Source organism: Homo sapiens, chromosome 17, assembly GCF_000001405.40.
Source record: "Homo sapiens chromosome 17, GRCh38.p14 Primary Assembly".
Lineage (NCBI taxonomy): Eukaryota > Metazoa > Chordata > Mammalia > Primates > Hominidae > Homo > Homo sapiens.
This window is the reverse complement of record NC_000017.11, coordinates 41,686,771-41,706,242: the sequence shown is the minus strand read 5'-3', so window position 1 is coordinate 41,706,242 and position 19,472 is coordinate 41,686,771. Positions and strand designations below refer to the sequence as shown.

The following is a 19,472-nucleotide window of genomic DNA, read 5'->3' as shown; positions in this document are numbered from 1 at the left end:
TCACCTGGCCTCAAGTGATCCTCCCTCCTGGCCTCCCAAAGCCCTGGGATTTATAGGCATGGGCCACCACGCCTGGCCTAACAGTGGTTTTAACTGGGAAAAATAATCCTAAAGGCCCCTCTGTGAGAGGATGAGAGGAGTCTTTATTCGGGTGTGTTCCAGGCTGAATGGCTCATCCCCGGCCCAACAGGTAGGAGGTGAGGGAGCTGAGTTGGGGAACCCCCGGGTCTTGGACTCCATGTGCTGCTGCCTCTTCTCGGCCCACAGCTTCCCATCCCACCCTCTCCAGAAGCCTCGCTCCTGCTGAATCTGTCTTCACTGTGACCTCCAGCTCCTCCACTGTCTGGCTCCTCCCAGCCCGCCTACCCCTCCCAGGGTTTGTCATCTCAGTTCTGTGTGATGCACATAGATTGCTGCCCCTGTCCTGCTTCTGAACCTGCCAGGCTGGTCCCAGGTCCCTGACAGGCCACCCCGACCCCTTCCTCAGCTCCTGCCACTCCCTGCAAAAACCGACAGGAAGTTTCCGAAAGTGACCAGTTGATTCAATTGCAAATTAATATTCTGCAGCTTGGTTGTTACTGGCAACTGTGGTGAATCATTTCTCTTTCATTCCCAAGGTCATTTGACGTCAGCCCCCTTTTCCCCACCGTGAACACAGCTGCCTAAGTCCCGCTTCCGTCCTTTCCTCCTTTCCTCCATCGCTGGAGGTTCTGTCACCCCATTCAGTGTCAGCCCCTCCACCAGGGCCCATCATCCCAGACCCTCCTGCCTGCTTAGAGACCGTGTGCTTTCACTCTTTCATTCACTCATTCATCCATGCATCTGTTTACTCAACACAAATTTTCCAAGTGCCTGCTTTGTGTCAGGCACTGTTCTGACCCTGGGGACACAATGGTGATCGAGGGGGGTCTTTGTTCTTTCTCTTCCCTTTTCTTTGTTGTCTATTGAGCCCAGGAGTGGGGTGGGTTGGAGTGACACATGGTGGGCTCAAGGGGCCATGGGGGAGGTTTGGATGGCTGGTTATGCCTATGACCTCGCTATTGAGAACGTTATTTCAGAGAAGGTAGAAGGATCAGTGCGTTTCTTCAAGCTTTACTGAAGTTTTGCTGCATATATAAACCCACCTGATTCCAAATGATCCCTGGCAGACGGCAGAGGTCATTTCTGTCCACGAGCCAGAGAGATGCTGCCATGTGGCAAGGGCAACACCCCTGCTCATAATGTGCCCACCCAGCCAGCTTTGGAAATGATGCAATTCTTTTTTTTTTTTTTTTTTTTTTTTTAAATAAGCCATTTAGCCAGGCGCAGTGGCTCATGTCTGTAATCCCAGCACTTTGGGAGGCTGAGGCAGGCAGATCACTTGAGAACAGGAGTTCGAGACCAGCATGGCCAACATGGTGAAACCCCCGTCTCCAATAAAAATACAAAAATTAGCTGGGAGTGGTAGCGCATGCCTGTAATCCAGCTACTCAGGAGGATGAGGCAGGAGAATTGCCTGAATCCAGGGGGTAGAGGTTGCAGTGAGCCGAGATCAGACCACTGCACTCCAGCCTGGGCAACAGAGTGAGACTGTCTCCAAAAAAAAAAAAAAAAGCCATTTATTTAGATATTGTTTATATACCATACCTTTTGCCCTTTGAAAGTATACACTTCAGTGGCTTTTATATTATTTACTTTCTTTTTGAGACAAGTTCTTTTTCTTTTTCTTTTTTTTTTGAGACGGAGTCTTCTTCTGTCACCCAGGCTGGAGTGCAGTGGTATGAACTCAGCTCACTGCAACCTCCACCTCCCGAGTTCAAGTGATTCTCCTGCCTCAGCCTCCCAAGTAGCTGGTATTACAGGCGCCCATCACCACATCTGGCTAATTTTTTGTATTTTTAGTAGAGATGGGGTTTCACCGTGTTGGTCAGGCTGGTCTCGAACTTCTGACCTCAAGTGATCTGCCCGCCTCGGCCTCCCAAAGTGCTGGGATTACTGGCGTGAGTCACTGCGCCTGGCTGGGGTCTTCTTATATTGCCTAGGCCGGTCTTGAATTCAGGTGATCCTCCTGCATTGGGCTCCCAAAGTGCTGGGATTACAGACTTGAGCCACTGTGCCCAGCCAAAGACAGGTTTTTTGCTGTGTTGCACAGGCTATTCTCTAACTTCTGGGCTCAATGATCCTCCCACCTAAGCCTCCCAAGTAGCTAGGACTGGAGATGCAAGCCACCAAGCCCAGCTTCAGTGGCTTTTAGTTCACACATTTGTGCAACTATCACCATTATCTAATTCAGAACACTTTCATCACCCCACACCCATTTGCAGTCATTCCTCATTCCCCCTTTTCCCTGGAAACCACAAATCTACTTTCTGTCTCCAAGAATTTGCCTATTCTGAGACTTTCATTTAATTGGAATCATACAATATACGGCCTTTTGTGTATGGGTTATTTTACTTAGCATGATGCATTTGTGATTCATTCATGTTGTAGTATACATCAGAACTTCATTCTTTTTTTTTTTTGAGACAGAGTCTCGCTCTGTTGCCCAGGCTGGAGTGCAATGGCAGGATCTCAGCTTACTGCAACCTCCGCTTCCTGGGTTCAAGTGATTCTTCTGCCTCAGCCTCCCAAGTAGCTGGGATTACAGGTGCCTGCCACCACGCCCAGCAAATTTTTTGTATTTTTAGTAGAGACGGGGTTTCACTATGTTGGCCAGGCTGGTCTCGAACTCTTGACCTCAGGCAATCCACTCGCCTCGGCCTCCCAAAGTGCTGGCATTACAAGTGTGAGCCACTGCACCCGGCCTTTTTTTTTTTTTTTTTTGAGACAGAGTTTCGCTTTTGTTGCCCAGGCTGGAGTGCAATGGCGCGATCTCGGCTCACTGCAACCTCCGCCTCCAGGGTTCAAGCGATTCTCCTGCCTCAGCCTCTCGCGTAGCTAGGATTACAGGTGCTCACCACCACACCCGGCTAATTTTTATATTTTTATTTATTTTTTATTTTATTTTATTTTTTTTCGAGACAGCGTCTCACTCTGTTGCCCCGGCTAGAGTGCAGTGGTACGATCTTGGCTCACTGCAACCTCCGCCTCCCGGGTTCAAGTGATTCTTCTGCCTCAGCCTGGCCAGCATGGTGAAACCCCGTCTCTACTAATAATACAAAAAATTAGCTGAATATGGTGTCGCGTGCCTGTAAGCCCAGCTACTCGGGAGGCTGAGGCAGAATAATTGCTTGAACCTGGGCGGTGGAAGTTGCAGTGAGTTGAGATTGCGCCATTGCACTCTGGCCTGGGTGACAAGAGTGAGACTATCTCAAACAAAACAAAACAAAACAAAACAAAACAAAGAAATGGTGCCAAATCTTATTTATTAATTTAGAGACAGGCTCTCTCTCACTCCCGTTGCCCAGGCTGGTGTCCAGTGGCGCAATCTTGGCTTCCTGGGCTCAAGTGATTCTCCCCTGTTAGTCTCCTGAGCAGCTGGGATTGCAGGCACACACCACCGCACTGGCTAATTTTTTTTTTTTTTTTTTTAGTAGAGACAGGATTTTGCCATGTTGCCTGGGCTGGTCCCGAACTCCTAGGTTTAAGCAATCTGCCCGCCTTGGCCTCCCAAAGTGCTGGGATTACAGATGTGAACCACCGCGCCTGGACCAAATCTAATTTAGAGCATTAAAAAGTATTCATGGCCGGTAATGGTGGATCACGGCAATAATCCCAGCACTTTGGGAGGCTGAGGTAAGAGGATCACTTGAGCCCAGGAGTCTGAGACCAGCCTGGGCAACATAGCGAGACCCTGTCTCTACTTAAAAAAAAAGCCAGGTGTGGCAATGTGAACCTGAAGTCCCAGCTACTTGGGAGGCTGAGGCGAGAGGATTGCTTGAGCCCGGGAGTTGGAGGCTGCAGTGAGCTATGATCAGATTGCACTAGTGCACTCCAGCCTGGGTGATAGGGTCTGGTGCACTCCAGGGCCTATCTCAAACAAAATAAAACAAAACATTCATTATTAAACAAAGGAACTAAAATAAATGTGTGAATCTTTAAACTCAAGAAGTTAGAAAAAGAGCCACAAAATCAAGGAAAATAAGGAAGAAAGAAAAATAATAAAATCGGAGATTAATGATTGAGAAAAACAGAAAAAAATGATAGAGTTGCTAAGATTAAGAATGGATTTTTTGGTTGGGTGTAATTCCAGCACTTTGAGAGGCCAAGGTGGGAGCATCCCTTGAGACCAGGAGTTGGAGGCTGCAGTGAGCTATGATCACTGTACTCAGCCTGGGCAACAGAGTGAGACTGTGTCTTAAAAAAAAAAAAAAAAATTGGCCTGGCGCAGTGGCTCACGCCTGTAATCCCAACACTTTGGGATGCTAAGGCGGGTGGATCACCTGAGGTCAGGTTTTCAAGACCAGCCTGACCAATATGGAGAAACCCCGTCTCTACTAAAAATACAAAATTAGCCAGGCATGGTGGCACATGCCTGTAATCCCAGCTACTCAGGAGGCTGAGGCAGGAAAATGGCTTGAACCCAGGAGGAGGAGGTTGCAGTGAGCTAAGATGGTGACACTGCACCCTAGCCTAGGTGACAGAGTAAGACTCCAACTCTAAAAAATAGTAAAATTAAAAAATCTCCTTTAAAACAGAGTGCTTGTTGGACAGGAGGTCCACACGCAGGAGCCGTGACCCTGCGGCACCCAGGTGTCCAAACGGGCTCCCTCAATCCACAGCCACTCTTGCCAGCCGTTACCCAGTCACAGCAGCCCGGGTCACTGCACAGTTTAAATTGTCTTTAATCATAGTCCTTTATGGTTAATTTATACCCATAATGGGCAATTGGTTAAAAACAGGAAGCAGAGGGAGCACAGAGGTTGAAAAATAAGTGAACATTGAACATAAACATGATGCCCTTTGTGTGTCTAGTTATTAATTCTCGCTCCATTTCTGTGATATAGGAGGAAACAAGCACAAGGGGAATATAAGGTTCAGGGAGATTATGACTTGCCCACCTTGGAGACAGAACTAAAGATTTTTGCTGCTCAGCATCACCTGGGAGCTTGATAGATGTGCAGAATTTCAGGCTCTACCCCAGATCTACTGAATCAATCTCCATTTTAACAATCTTCATTTTAAACAGTTTCAAGGCCAGATGCAGTGGCTCACGCCTATAATCCTAGCACTTTGGGAGGGCAAAGTGGGAGGATCACTTAAGCCCAGGAGTTCAAGACCAGCCTGGACAACATAGTGAGATCCCACCTCTACAAAAAATACAAAAATTAGCCAGGCATGATGGGGCATGCCTGTAGTCCCAGTTACTCAGGAGGCTGAGGCAGGAGGATCACTTGAGCTTGGGAGGCGGAAGTTGTAACGAGCCATGACCACACCACTGCACTCCATCTTGGGTAACAGAACCAGACCCTGTCTTGAAAAAAAGTCTGATATAGCCTGATGCAGTGGCTCACGCCTGTAATCCCAGCACTTTGGGAGGCTGAGGCGGGTGGATCATTTGAGGGTCAGGTGTTTGAGACCAGCCTGGCCAACATGATGAAACCCCATCTCTACTAAAAATACAAAAATTAGCTGGGCGTGTTGGTGCATGCCTGTAATCCCAGCTACTTGGGAGGCTGAGGCACAGGAATCGCTTGAATCCAAGAGGCTGAGGTTATAGTGAGCTGGGATCGTGCCTCTGCACTCCAGACTGGGTGACAGAGCAAGACTGTCTCAAAAAAAAAAAAAAAAAGAAAAAAAGAAAAGAAAAGGGCCGGGCTCGGTGGCTCATGCCTCTAATCCCAGCACTTTGGGAGACTGAGGTGGGTGGATCACGAGGTCAGGAGATTGAGACCATCCTGGCTAACACAGGTGAAACCCCGTCTCTACTAAAATTACAAAAAAAAAAAAAAATTAGCCGAGCGTGGTGGCAGGCACCTGTAGTCCCAGCTACTCGGGAGGCTGAGGCAGGAGAATGGCATGAACCTGGGAGGTGGAGCTTGCAGTGAGCCAAGATTGTGCCACTGCACTCCAGCCTGGGCAACAGAGCGAGATTCAGTCTCAAAAAAAAAAAAGAAAAAAGTTTGAAATGCAGCACTTTAGACCATAAAATTAGCAGACTTTATTTTTTTTAATTTTATTTATTTATTTTTTTGAGACGGTGTCTTGCTGTGTTGCCCAGGCTGGAGTGTAGTGGCGTTATCTCGGCTCACTACAACCTCTGCCTTCTGGGTTCAAGCGATTCTCCTGCCTCAGCCTCCCAATTAGCTGGGATTACAGGCGCCCGCCACCACGCCCAGCTAATTTTTGTATTTTTTTTTTTTTTTTGAGACGGAGTCTCGCTCTGTCGCCCAGGCTGGAGTCCAGTGGCCCGATCTCGGCTCACTGCAAGCTCCGCCTCCTGGGTTCATGCCATTCTCCTGCCTCAGCCTCCCGAGTAGCTGGGACTACAGGCATCCACCACCACGCCCAGCTAATTTTTTGTATTTTTAGTAGAGACAGGGTTTCACTGTGTTAGCCAGGATGGTCTTGATCTCCTGACCTCATGATCTGCCCATCTCAGCCTCCCAAAGTGCTGGGATTACAGGCGTGAGCCACCGCGCCCAGCTAATTTTTGTATTTTTAGTAGAGAGGGGTTTTTACCATGTTGGTCAGGCTGGTCTCGAACTCCTGACCTCAGGTGATCCACCCGCCTCAGCCTCCCAAAGTGCTGAGATTACAAGTGTGAGTCACCGCGCCTGGCTTTAGTGGACTTTATATTGCAATCTGTTCACTGGTTAAAAAAAGACAGTGGCATTGTTTTTATAAGTGCACATTCCATCGCAGTTTTAGATCTGCATTGGAGCACACAAAAACGGACAGTAGAAGCATAGAAAGCGACAGTTATGAATTGAGTATGGATCGAGCATCATTGCATTAGGTGAGAGGTGTGGGTATCTGGCTGGCAGGGGAATCAAACAGGGAGCCCTTCAGTGATACCAAGCCTGGGCTCAGGCCTCAGAGTCTCAGGCGAGAACTGCTGCAGGTGGCGAAGTGATGGTGATCTACCCAGCCACTCCCACTGAGCCTCACCAGACTCGCAGGTCAACCGATTAAGAGGGCTCCAGGATGTCACAAACAATGCTGACAGAGAAAATTCAGTGACGGTTATATCTGATTTGGCTTTTCTTTTTTTTCTTTCTGATACAGAGTCTCGCTATGTTGCCCAGGCTGGAGTGCAATGGTGCCATCTCAGCTCACTGAAACTTTAGCCTCCCAGGTTCAAGCAATTCTCCTGCCTCAGCCTCCTGAGTAGCTGGAATTACAGGCGTGCACCACCACACCTGGCTAATTTTTGTATTTTTAGTAGAGACGTGGTTTCACCATGTTGGCCAGGCTGGTCTTGAACTCCTGACCTCGTGATCCGCCCACCTCAGCCTTCCAAAGTGCTGGGATTACAGGTGTGAGCCACCGCACCCGGCCTTGGCTTTTCATTTATGGGGACCAAGGACAGCCTACATCTCTCACGTACTATTCGCAAACTCCTTGGATATGAGTATCCTGAAACTGTCTTATATCATGCTCTAGGGAAAAATACACGAGTTATAAATTCAAATTTTAATGTAGTGAGTGTAAGCAGGGGATCCTAATGAGCTTTAGTGTTAATAAAACACTCATAATGAAATCTAAATCTGCATTTTATTTTATTTTACTTTGAGATGGAGTCTTGCTCTGCCGCCCAGGCTGGAGTGCAGTGACGCCATCTCGGCTCACTGTAATCTCTGCCTCCCGGGTTCAAGTGATTCTAGTGCTTCAGCCTCCTGAGTAACTGGGATTACAGGCACACACCTCCACAGTTCGCTAAGTTTTGTATTTTTAGTAGAGTCGGGGTTTCGCCATGTTGGCCAGGCTGGTTTCAAACTCCTGACCTCAGGTGGTCCGTCCGCCTCAGCCTCCCAAAGTGTAAGGATTACAGGTGTGAGTCACCACGACCGGCCTAAATCTGCATTTTAATATATATGTGTTCTCATAACCAAACATAATGTAATATCACTTTTCAATTTGTTTGGCACTTTTCTTTTTTCTCTTTTTTTTTTTTTTGAGACAGGATCTCACTCTGTCATCCAGGCTGGAGTGCCGTGGCGTGATCATAACTCACTGCAGCCTCAAACTCCTAGGCTCAAGTGATCCTCCTGCCTCAGTCTCCTGAGTAGCTGGGACTACAGGCACATACCACCACACTAGGCTTGCTTTCTCTTCCAATTATATATACAATGTTTGTTAGTGAGTCCCTGGGAGATCTAAAATAAATAAATAAACACTGTGTTTTGTCACTTTTTTAACGGAGAAAGTCAAAATAGTCTTTGAATGGTATGATTACCACAGATTATACTTTAAATGCACTTTAGAGAAGGAAGAAACTATCATATAATTTACCAACCAATTATCTTTTACTTAAAATTCCTAGCATAGTCTGGGCATGGTGGCTCATGCCTGTAATCCCCAGCACTTTGGGAGGCAGAGGCAGGAGGATCACTTGAGTCCAAGAGTTTGAGACCAGCCTGGGCAATACAGTGAGATCCTGCCTTTATCTATTTCAAATAAATAAATAAATAAAATAAAATTCCCAGCATATACCAGGCATATGATGAAAAAGATCTAAAATTCTCAAGTTAGTCCTCTAGATTGCTGATATAACAGGGGAAAGGATTATTGGGTCCAAAAAGTGTTGAGACTCACTGAGAGAGACAGCAGCTGCTTGGCTGCGGGACACAGGATAGAAGGCAGTCACGTGGGTGACTCTGAAAAGCTTGCCCGGGTTTATGACAGTTCCCAGAGGTTCATGTGACCCAGGGTTTCCCAACCTCAGCACTGTTGATATTTTGGGCCAGATAGTTATTTGTGTGGGGGTAAGAGGCTGTTCCATGGGTCACAGGATGTTTAGCAGCATCTCTGACCACTTCTTACTGGATACCAGTAGTATACATCTCTTCTCTCCCACCCCCACCCCAGGCAACTAACATAGTCTCCAGACTCTGAGAACTACTGATGTAATTCCAGCCTTTCCCTCCGGCTCTACCAAGTAGGGATGCAAAGGGGAGAGAGTAAGTCACATAACTCTCTCTCTTTTTTTTTTTTTTTTTAGGAGAGACGGGGTTTCTCCATGTTGCCTAGCCTGGTCTCGAACCTCTCACCTCAAGTGATCCGCCTGCCTTGGCCTCTCAAAGTGCTGGGATTACAGGCGTGAGCCACCGTGCCTGGCCCTAGCAAGTCACATAATTTATAGAGGGTAACTCTGTCGATTTTAAACTTCGCGTAGTCTGACCCATTCATTCATCCAATAAACACGTATTCAGCACCTAGTATGTGCCAGACTCTCTTGCAGGCACTGGGGATACAGCCCTGGACAAAGGTTTCTGCCCACACAGAACTTATGTTCTAGTGGGGGAAGATGGCCAAAATCAAATGAACAAATAAATTATATTGTTGCCCTACAAATAGGTCATATAGTTGTGCTATGGAGAAAAAAAAGCAGGAAGAAGAGAGATTGTGCCTCTCCCTGTCACAGACCCGAATGTGGCCCCTTCTAAACACAGTTTAAATTCTTCAGTATTTATACGATGATTGGTTTAGAATCTGACTCTCCGACTGCAGTACTGCAAACCCCACGAGGAGTGTGGTTTCTCTTGTTCATCACTGGGCCCCCACACCTGGCACAGCACCTGCACTGAGTGAGTGCTCCATAGGCATGAATGAATGAATGAATGAATGAACGCGGCAAAGAGCTATCGATGGAGTCTGGACTTGGACGAGAAGTCGTAGCTGGACACAGAGCCTTAGGATCAGGAACACTGAAGACAAACAAAGCCATGATATAGGGTGAGACCACCAAGGGAGAGGGAAGGACAGTCAGGACAATCCCTTGGGAACGCTTGCATTTAGAGAGTGGAAGAAATGAGAGGCTTGAGCAGGAGGGGGCAACAAGGGTGCATGGTGCCTAGCAGGAGACCCCACTGCACTCCAGCCTGGGAAACAGAGTGAGACTCTGTCCCCCCACCAAAAAAAAAGTTAAAAATTGGTCAAGGAGCTCTTAATTGAAAAATTGTAAAGCCTTGTGCACAGTAAACTGTGTTTTTACACTACTGCCACAAGGGGGCACCATCGAGGCTGATAAACCAGGAAGGGGGTCATGTTCAGTTCTCCAAATATGCTATGTGTTTTTCTGGCTTATTCATAGAGTTGACAGCAATTGGAATAGGTTCTAAAGTTGTTTTGTAGCTTCTTATGCAGTTTTAGCTGACCAGTTTTCATTTTGTCTTCATAACACCATCTTAAGAAACACTCAGTTTGTCCTTGCGTGTAGCTGTTGCAGCGTGTGGGGATGGGGGCAGGAGGGCTGGGGGGGTTTGGGGTGGGAGAGGAGGACTAAGGAGCAGAGAGCTGAGGGACCTTTTCAGCATAATCAATCTTTCTTTTTTTTGTTGTTGTTTTTGTTTTTGAGACGCAGTCTCGCTCTGTTGCCCAGGCTGGAGTGCAGTGGCACGATCTCGCCCGCCACCACGCCCAGCTAATTTTTGTATTTTTAGTAGAAATGGGATTTCGCCATGTTGACCAGGCTGGCCTCGAACTCCTGACCTCAAGTGATCTGCTGGCCTTGGCCTCCCTAAGTGCTGGGATTACAGGCGTGAGCCACTGCGCCGGCTTCCAGGTGCCTTTTCACCTCTGGGTGTGACTCTTTTTCTCTGCTCGAAATGCTTGGCTTCAGACAGCACCTCCTTTATGAAGCCTTCTTGGCCCCCTTGGCTGAGGATGGGAGTGGGGAAGATTTCGCAGTCCTCAGAGATCCTGTGGCTCTTTGGGTCCCTTTCTGTCCTGCGTCAAGGCTGTGTGCTGGTCTTACATCTACCTACCAGGCAGTCAGCTCCCTGAGTGCAGGGGGTCTGCCTGACATGCCCTGTAGTGTACTACAGATACCAAGCACTCAACAATCTCTGTAAGATGAGCATTTATTTATTTATTTCTGCTCCCACTCCACCGGGAAAATGAGTTACAGAAATTGTGAATGTACAGGTGCAGCTGGTGGGAGGAGGGGTACACAGGGAGTCCTGGGTTCTAGATGAGGCTCCACAACTTACCTTGGGAATGTCCACATCACATTGTTTTCTTTTTTTGAGACAGTGTCTATCTCTGTCACCCAGGTTGGAGTGCAGTGGTGCCATCTTGGCGCACTGCGACCTCTGCCTCCTGGGCTCAAGCCATTTTCCCACCTTGGCCTCCCCAGTAGCTGGGAGCATAGGCATGCAACACCACGCCTGGCTAATTTTTGTATTTTTTGTAGAGACAGGGTTTAGTCATGTTGCCCAGGCTGGTCTCGAAGTCCTGGACTCAAGCAATCTGCCTGCCTTGGTCTCTCAAAGTGCTGGGATTACAGGCATGAGCCACCATAACCAGCCATCATGCCTTCTTTTTTTTTTTTGGAGACGGAGTCTCGCTCTGTTGCCCAGGCTGGAGTGCAGTGGCGCAATCTTGGCTCACTGCAACCTCTGCCTCCTGGGTTCAAGCGATTGTCCTGCCTCAGCCTCCCACCTGGGACTACAGGCGCACGCCGCCATGCCCGGCTAATTTTTTGTATTTTAGTAGAGACAGGGTTTCACCGTTGTTGCCCAGGCTGGTCTCGAACTCCTGAGCTCAGGCAATCCGCCTGTCTTGGCCTCCCAAAGTGCTAGGATTACAGATGTGAGCCACCGCGCCCGGCCCATCATGACTTTTTAATTATACTTTTCTTCATTCAGCCTGAGATAGGTTACATCAGGTGGATAAGGGTGTTCACCAACTTCCTCAGTTCTGTGTTCACAGATACTTGTTTCGCTTGGCTTCACAGAGCTGATTTAATAGATGTTGATGGTTTAACTTGGAATAATCCCATCCTAGAGAATTGGAGGTCCTTAAAAAGCATGAGATGGAACAGCCTAGCACAGAACCTGGCCGTGTTCACAACCTACAGCATAGAAGGAATTCTCTTCTCTTGCTGTTTCATCCTGATTGTAGTATTTTGTGTGTTTGGCCTCCCGCCTTGCTCTAGAAGTTCCTCCAAGAAAAAACCTCCTACATTACAGTCAAATCTTACTGATTTAAAAGTCTCACCCAGCCAGGCACGGTGCTCATGCCTGTAATCCCAGCACTTTGGGAGGCTGAGGCAGGCGGATCACAAGGTCAAGGAGATCGGGACCATCCTGGCCAACATGGTGAAACCCTGTCTCTACTAAAAATACAAAAATTAGCCAGTCGTGGTGGCACGTGCCTGTAGTCCCAGCTACTCGGGAGGCTGAGGCAGGAGAATCGCTCGAACCTGGGAGGCAGAAACTGTAGTGAGGCGAGACCGTGCCATTGCACTCCAGTCTGGGCAACAGAGCAAGACTCCATCTCAAAAAAAAAAAAAATTCACTCAAATATTTTGAACAATGCCACTGTATTTGGAGCCTTGGTTGGCTCCAAGGCTAAATTATTTTGTGTTCATGAAACAGACTGGTTTTGTAGGACCTTTAACACGACAAGCTCCTGATGCTGGGGTTAGAATCATTGCTATAGTTTGAATGCTCCACCCAAACCAAAACCCATGTTGAAATTTAATTGCCAATTGAACAGTTATTGGGAGGTGGGGCGCTTTTTTTTTTTTTTTTTTGGAGACTCTGTCACCCAGGCTGGAGTACAGTGGCAGTGACATGATCACAGCTAACTATAGCCTTGGCTTCCTGGGCACCAGTGATCGTCCTTCCTCCTGCCTCAGCCTCCTAAGTAGCTGGGACTACAGGTGTGTGCCATCATGCCTGGCTAATTTTTGTATTGTTTGTAGAGATAGGGTTGTGCCACGTTGCCCAGGTTGGTCTCAAGGATTCACCCCCCTTGGCAAGTGCTGGGATTACAGGTGTGAGCAACTGTGGCTGGCCAAGGTGGGGTTTTTAAAGGTATTAGGTCCTGAGCCTCTGCCCTCATGAATGAAGTGGGCTCACAACAGTATAGGTTTGGCCCCCATTTGCTGTCCAGCCCTTCCACCATGTTATGATGCAGTAAGAAGGCCCTCACCAGATGCCAATGCCATGCCTTTCGACTTCTGTGAGCCAAATAAATCTCTATCAATTATTCAGTCTGCTGTATTCTAACACAATCACCTCCTAGTTTTAGGGCAGTTGCCATTGGCTCAACCTCACCAGCCCTCCTCCACAACTCACCTGGTTCTATGCTCTTTCCCAACCTGGGCTCTAACCTAACTCACCGCTTGTACCTTTATCTACAAAATGGGCTGGTAGTAAACTTAGTAGTCTTGCATTACTCAATGACAGGGACATGTTTTGAGAAACGCATCGTTAGGCGATTTTGTGTTTTCTACGAACATCATCGTGTACTTACGCACACCTGGATGGCACAGCCTACTACATGCCTAGGTTATATGACACAGCCTGTTGCTCCTAGGCTACAAACCTGTACAGCACGTTACTGTGCTGAAATTGTAGGCCAGGGGTGTCGTATCTTTTCACTTCCCTGGGCCACACTGGAAGAATTGTCTTGGGCCACACATAAAATACACCAACAATAGCTGATGAACTAAAAAGAAAAAAAAAAAAGTCACCAAACAAAACTCATGTTTTAGCAAAATTTATTAGTTCGTGTTGGGCCACATTCAAAGCCATCCACACAAGCTTCTTGTAGGCCATTGTAACACAATGTTAAAAGGTACAGTAAAAATACAGTATTATAATCTTATTGTGTAGCACGGCTGTGAGGCTCATTGTTGAATGAAGCATCCTTAGGCAGCACGTGACTGCATGCAGATATGTGTGCTGAAAGAACTTTGCCTTTTTAACTAAATTAATGGACCCAGGAACAGAACTTGGTCTTTTACTTGCCATTCATTGTCCTTCATAAGGGATGGCCTCCCAACACTTAACTTCAGCTCTTCAAATACTTGTCATTAAACCTTCTAATACTACAAACTTACTACCCAGAGTATACACATTCCTAGCGATTTGTGGATCTTAACCCACAGCATGAATGCCCTTGTTATAGCCCTTGCATTTACTCTCCACTCTGCGCCCTTAAACCAAGGCTGTTACTACTGAGGGGGCGCCAAGATTTCCAAGCAACCCATTCTCCAGGACACTGATTAACAGCACAGCATGACTCTGGCTAAATGCTTGCAAAAACAGTTGACCTGCTGGGCATGGTGGCTCATGCCTGTAATCCCAGCACTTTGGGAGGCCAAGACAGGCAGATCACTTGAGGCCAGGTGTTCAAGACCAGCCTGGCCAACATGGAGAAACCCTGTCTCTACTAAAAATACAAAAGTTAGCTGGGCATGGTGCCTGTAATCCCAGCTACTAGGGAGGCTGAGGCACGACAATTGCTTGAACCTGAGGTGGAGGTTGCAGTGAGCCGAGATTGTGCCACTGCACTCCAGCCTGGGCAACAAGGGCAAACCTGTCTCAAAAAACAAACGAACAAAAAACCAGTTGACCAGAGAGGGACAAGCTCATAAAGGTTTTTCTTGGCCAAATTCAGGCCCGTTGAGAAGCTGTGGGTGTGGACGAATCCTCCACTGCCCATTTCTATGGTTCCTTTATATGCACAAGATCGACTATATATAAATAATCTGCAAGTCAGGTATTTCTGAAAACAAGTTTTATTTAAATAAGGGTTTAAATACATTACACATAACATTAAAACTGAAGGGGAAAAAAAAACCAAAAACCAGTTTGTTACTTCACATGGCATTGGGCAGCTGCTGCTATTAAGTTGCAAGCTCTACAGCTAGCTACATGACTGATGGATCAGTTTGAGATTTGTTCCCTTGTCAAAAGTTTAACTCTGATAGAAGGTTGGCCTCACATTCTGATGTTTGGACATCCCTTAGCTAGGATATGTCTGGTCGAACAGACCTTTGTGGCAAGCCAGATGTCCTATCACCTCGCTAGCGGTAAGAGGGCCTCTTTGAGCTCTGTCCACCTAGTCAGGTTGGAGACACCAGGGGATCTACCACCAAAAGCTCCCTTCTAGTAGTACAGCTGGTGCTTCTGCCTTACCCCATCCTCTCCTCTCAGATTCACCGAGGACTGTTCAGGTGGTAACATTCTCTTAGGGTAGGGAACTCTGCAGAGGGAGAGCTGAGGAGGTTCCGGCCATAGTTGTTTGTAATCTTAGGGCTCTGGGCTTGGCTGAAACATGACGGTATTGCTTGGTTTCAGGCTTGACACTGCCAGGCGCCTATTGCTTGACCTCTGTTTAAATGAGGGACTTCAAGACTAGACAGCATGGCTCTTTTCAGTTTATTGCATGAAGGAGTTACACTAGTCCAAGTTAAAAGCGGACCCCAAATGGTTACATTATACAAGCTGTGAGGTTTTTAAACCTGTGACAAGGGAGAGAAGGGAAATTCTACTCATTGCAAGGAAATCCTCACTTAAGCTTCAGTGAGCCACAAGCACTTAAAACCCATGAACCTTCAGCTGATCGTCCTTAGCCAGTCCAATCTGAAAAGACAAAAGGGCAAAGTTTTAAATGGGGGACAGGGAGAGTTAAAGCCTCCATTTCTAATGGCAACAACCCTGTCTTCCTGCTACTACACTGCCCAAGAGCCAGGGGTGCGCACAATGGTTCAACAGAGGGTCCTCAGTTAAGAGCTACCTTTTTTGAACACTCAGTGCCTTCCAAGGTTCTGAATTAGTGTGAGAATGAGACTCATCAGGTATCTGAAATCTCTTCAATTATATCAAGAGCTGATCATGTAACAGTATTTTAGTATTAATACTCAGGAAATTCATTTTTAAAAACTCATGTCCTTACAAATACAGGAACAACCCAGCATTTGGCTTATTTTACAATGCATCTATATGCTATTCAAATTTGCATCTGTGAAGTAGATCCACAGAAACAGTAAACCAAAGGTAGACAAGTCCCTTCTGCTTTTTCCTATAAAACAGAAATAAGTCTATGTACTTTAAAACCCAACTGAGGTTTTGCTCAGCCTTACAAAGCCAACTTTTATGTCCCCAGCAGAAGCTAACAGACAGGATCTGAGATTTGCCAGCAGAGAGGCACAAATCAAGTAGTGACTGAACTCACCTCTACGAGGAACTGGCATATGTTCTTGCGTTGGTCACCCTGTAGCTGAATTACTTCTCCATATTCCGGATGCTCAATTACAGTACCATTGCAGGCAAACTTCTGCAAGCACAAAGGAAAACGAATTAGGCCTAGCAAGAGCATGAACGCATTTATCACCCCTTCCGCTAACAATACATACAACACAGCTGGCACCCCCTTGTGGACAAATCCATTATGACTTTCCCAAAATCTCACTGAAGACCTACTTTCTTAAACGCCTTCACTAGTTTCTTTTTATCGTAATCATCAGCGATCCCTTGGACAGTAGTAAGGGTCTTCCTGCCGTTTCTCTGTTGAATTCTTATATGGATATAATCCTCAGTGCCAGCAGGAAGCAGGTCATCACCCTTACTTGCATCAGCAAAGGGGTCTGAAAAAAAAGGTTAAGCTCGTTCAGAGCTGTCAAAGATAGGATGCCACTGCCATCCCCTCGGTCCCCAGGTGTTTTGCGCGTGCAGAAAACAACACTGAAATCGTCAGGGCTTGGGCCAGGCCGAATGTGTCCTTTGCTGGCTCTCCCCGAGCAGGTCAGTCCGGGACGGCCAGCTTCCCCAGGCTCGGGGAACGCCCGGGCCTCCCGCCCTCCCTGGGAAGCCGATCACATGTCGGGGGAGTCCGGGCTGCCAGGCGGTGCCCCACCCAGCTGATGCAACCCGCCGGAACCCGAGCTCCCGAGGCGGGGCTAAGCCTCCCACCCCCATTGGTGCACCCGCTTGCCACTTAGGGCTGGCACCGCCTTTCCCTCCGGATCCGTGACAACGGGTGGTGACGTAACGGACGTGACGCAATGGTGACGGGAGGGGCGGGTGTGGCCCGAGGAGGCCCAGGAGCCATTAGTAAATGCGCCACTGAGACGCCGGGCCCGCCCAAGGGCTGACCTACCGCCTGCTCCTTCCGGTCGCGCTCAGGGTCCGACCCCGGGGCCCAGGCCTTGATCCCGCTGCCCTGCGACCCTGGTCAAGTTTCCCCTGCCCGAGCTTACGAAGGCCCGGAGCGCTTGGCAACTTCCCGGAACACGTCTCCGGGCCCGGAAGGCCCCGCTGCCCCACCCGGGCCCGCGACCTTTCCCATAGCTTACCGAAAGAGTGGAGGTTCTGGATAGCGGACATACGATACGATTCCTTTTCCTCGGTGGAAACGGCCTGCGGAAGGCGGCGGCGGCGGTGGCGGGAGAAGGCGGGCAGGGGGGAACGGAACGTCGGGAAGCGAGGGGGCTCAAGGGGGAGGCTGCTGAATCCTCGGCGGCGGCTCAGTGACTGGGGCAGAGGGGCGGTGCCTGTGTTTAGTTATATAGCCGCGCCTCTGACGCCAGCGCGCTGCCCTCACGTCCTGACCCCACCCACAGCGTCGTGCCCCAAGCGCCCAGGCGGCGCCGCTTCCAATTGGTTTGGAGGCGGGGACATGGGATGGCGCTTGCGCAGGAAGTCTGCGGCAGGAGGGCGTCCTCTTGACTCTAGGAGAGCTGGGAGGGGGAGGGAAAGCTTGATCTGTCTCGGAGCCTGCGCAGTGCGAGTGGACGGTGTCTGGGTGCCGAGAATACCGGCCCAGGTTTCGAGCGCGCCTACGCACTGTGTCCTTTGGTACGTTCCACCTTCTTGACCCTGTTGCATCCCTGTCTTCTCGAAAAGGGGAGTTTCATATGGTAAATGAACACTCCTTAGAGAGGATTTAGATGATGAGCCTCCCAAACACGAGAAATCCCCGTTGTGTCAAACCCACCTACCTACCCACCCTACTACCCACGGAGTCACAGCGGGATTTAGGGCGGCACTTTGATTAATCAACATACAATAATATAATCAAAACGGTAACCGCATAATTTAGATTGCCATTTAGATTTATTCTAAAGTGGGTTAATCCGATCTAAAATTTTCATTTAGATTAGATTAATCCATCTAAGGAAAAAGTGTGCCCAGCTCATTGGCATGAGTTCAAGGTATAGTAACTGGTTCTGGGCCCCCCCGAGAATAATTCTGGCACCAGAGGGCGTCCTTCATGTGGCACAGCTTGTGTGGAGTAGAGCCTTCCTAGAGTTTAGATGAAATATTTCCTTCAAAACAGTCAACCTTTCTTGCTTTCAGTTTATTTATTTCAACACTCAGTTGTAGGGGTAAGTAGAGTGGTGAAAAGAGACCAGGAATTTTAGACTCAAAGGCCTCCGGGGATAGGCAGGTAAGTAGGATCAAGGAGTGCAAACAGCCAAGTGTGATGTAATGGGGTGGACTGGGGGCTGGAGTAAGAACTACGGGCTGCAGTGGCCGCTCACCTCCAGCCCATTGTGCTAGATCTTTTTCAAGAGTGCCAGGAAATCCAGGTGTTTACATAAAATCTCTTGATTTTTAAATATTGCCAATAAATTGATTTTTTTTTTGAGACAGAGTCTCACTTTGTCGCCGAGGCTGGAGTGCAGTGGCACTGTGTCGGCTCACTGTAACCTCCGTCTCCTGGGTTCAAGCAATTCTTCTGCCTCAGCCTCCCGAGTAGTTGGGGTTACAGGCATCCACCACCACGCCCGGCTAGTTTTTTAAAAATATTTTTAGTAGAGATGGGTTTTCACCATGTTGGCCAGGCTGGTCTTGAACTCCTGACCTCAGGTGATCTGCCTGCCTCGGCCTTCCAAAGTGCTGGGATTACAGGAATAAATTGAATTTTTGATACAACACTGCAAGCCAAACAAAAATATGCATGCCCATGGACTGCTGGTTTATGTCCCTGACAGTCAGGGTCACTGCCCTTGTGGAGTTGAAGGCCAGCGGGAGAGAGAGCCACTAAACAAATAATAAGATAATGAGGCTGGGCGCTGTGGCTTATGCCTGTAATCCCAGCACTTTGGGAGGCTGAGGTGGGCGGATCACCCGAGGTCAGGAGTTCGAGACCAGCCTGGCCAATATGGTGAAACCCTGTCTCTACTAAAAATACAAAAATTAGCTGGGCGTGGTGGCGTGTGCCTGTAGTCCCAGCTACTCGGGAGGCCGAGGCACAATAATTATTTGAACCCGGGAAGAGGAGACTGCAGTGAGCCAAGATGGCGCCATTGCACTCCAGCCTGGGCGACAGAGCAAGACTATGTCTCAAAAAAAAAAAAAAAAGGATAATGACAGATTGTGAGAGGTGCCAAAAAGGAGGTAAACAGGGTGATGTGAAAGGGCCAGGCTCCTTCAGATGGGGTGGTCAGAGAAGGCCTCTGGGGAGGCAGCATTCTGGCTGACAGAGGGTAGGAAGGAGTCCACTGTGGGGCAGGGCATGTGCCCACCAGAAAACTCAGAAAAACTCTGAGGGAGGAAATGCTAGGTGTACCTGATATATATATGTGTATGTGTGTGTATATATATATATATGTATATGAGTGTGTGTATATATGTGTGTGTGTGTATTTG

General features: G+C 48.2%; 1 protein-coding gene across 1 annotated transcript, besides 6 other annotated features; it reads right to left on the bottom strand.

Annotated features, from left to right (window-relative positions):
- Positions 399–1,191: an enhancer, noted in NCBI's record as "OCT4-NANOG-H3K27ac-H3K4me1 hESC enhancer chr17:39861304-39862096 (GRCh37/hg19 assembly coordinates)". NCBI's record gives its function as "activates a minimal SCP1, AML or CMV promoter by ChIP-STARR-seq in naive H9 embryonic stem cells {active_cell/tissue: H9 hESC(naive)}" and the evidence as "EXISTENCE:reporter gene assay evidence [ECO:0000049][PMID:30033119]".
- Positions 13,575–17,358, bottom strand: EIF1 (eukaryotic translation initiation factor 1). Its single transcript, NM_005801.4, has 4 exons — positions 17,174–17,358; positions 16,302–16,465; positions 16,054–16,155; positions 13,575–15,461 (listed from the first exon to the last, which is right to left on the bottom strand). The coding sequence occupies exons 1-4, from the start codon at positions 17,202–17,204 to the stop codon at positions 15,417–15,419; spliced, it is 342 nt and encodes a 113-aa protein (NP_005792.1). The 5' UTR covers positions 17,205–17,358; the 3' UTR covers positions 13,575–15,416.
- Positions 15,840–16,748: an enhancer, noted in NCBI's record as "NANOG-H3K27ac-H3K4me1 hESC enhancer chr17:39845747-39846655 (GRCh37/hg19 assembly coordinates)". NCBI's record gives its function as "activates a minimal SCP1, AML or CMV promoter by ChIP-STARR-seq in primed H9 embryonic stem cells {active_cell/tissue: H9 hESC(primed)}" and the evidence as "EXISTENCE:reporter gene assay evidence [ECO:0000049][PMID:30033119]".
- Positions 15,840–16,763: a biological region, named in NCBI's record as "NANOG-H3K27ac-H3K4me1 hESC enhancer GRCh37_chr17:39845747-39846655".
- Positions 16,674–16,763: an enhancer, noted in NCBI's record as "active region_12171". NCBI's record gives its function as "activates an Ori minimal core promoter by ATAC-STARR-seq in GM12878 lymphoblastoid cells {active_cell/tissue: GM12878}" and the evidence as "EXISTENCE:reporter gene assay evidence [ECO:0000049][PMID:35858748]".
- Positions 16,749–17,657: an enhancer, noted in NCBI's record as "NANOG-H3K27ac-H3K4me1 hESC enhancer chr17:39844838-39845746 (GRCh37/hg19 assembly coordinates)". NCBI's record gives its function as "activates a minimal SCP1, AML or CMV promoter by ChIP-STARR-seq in primed H9 embryonic stem cells {active_cell/tissue: H9 hESC(primed)}" and the evidence as "EXISTENCE:reporter gene assay evidence [ECO:0000049][PMID:30033119]".
- Positions 17,144–17,533: a silencer, noted in NCBI's record as "silent region_8498". NCBI's record gives its function as "represses an Ori minimal core promoter by ATAC-STARR-seq in GM12878 lymphoblastoid cells {active_cell/tissue: GM12878}" and the evidence as "EXISTENCE:reporter gene assay evidence [ECO:0000049][PMID:35858748]".

Excerpts from the sequence above, each read along its gene's own strand:
- EIF1 (NM_005801.4), bottom strand. The coding sequence starts at position 17,204 with ATGTCCGCTATCCAGAACCTCCACTCTTTCG. Across the intron at positions 16,466-17,173 it reads CCAGAACCTCCACTCTTTCG|ACCCCTTTGCTGATGCAAGT; the intron begins GTAAGCTATGGG and ends CTTTTTTTTCAG. Across the intron at positions 16,156-16,301 it reads TAGTGAAGGCGTTTAAGAAA|AAGTTTGCCTGCAATGGTAC; the intron begins GTAGGTCTTCAG and ends TTGTGCTTGCAG.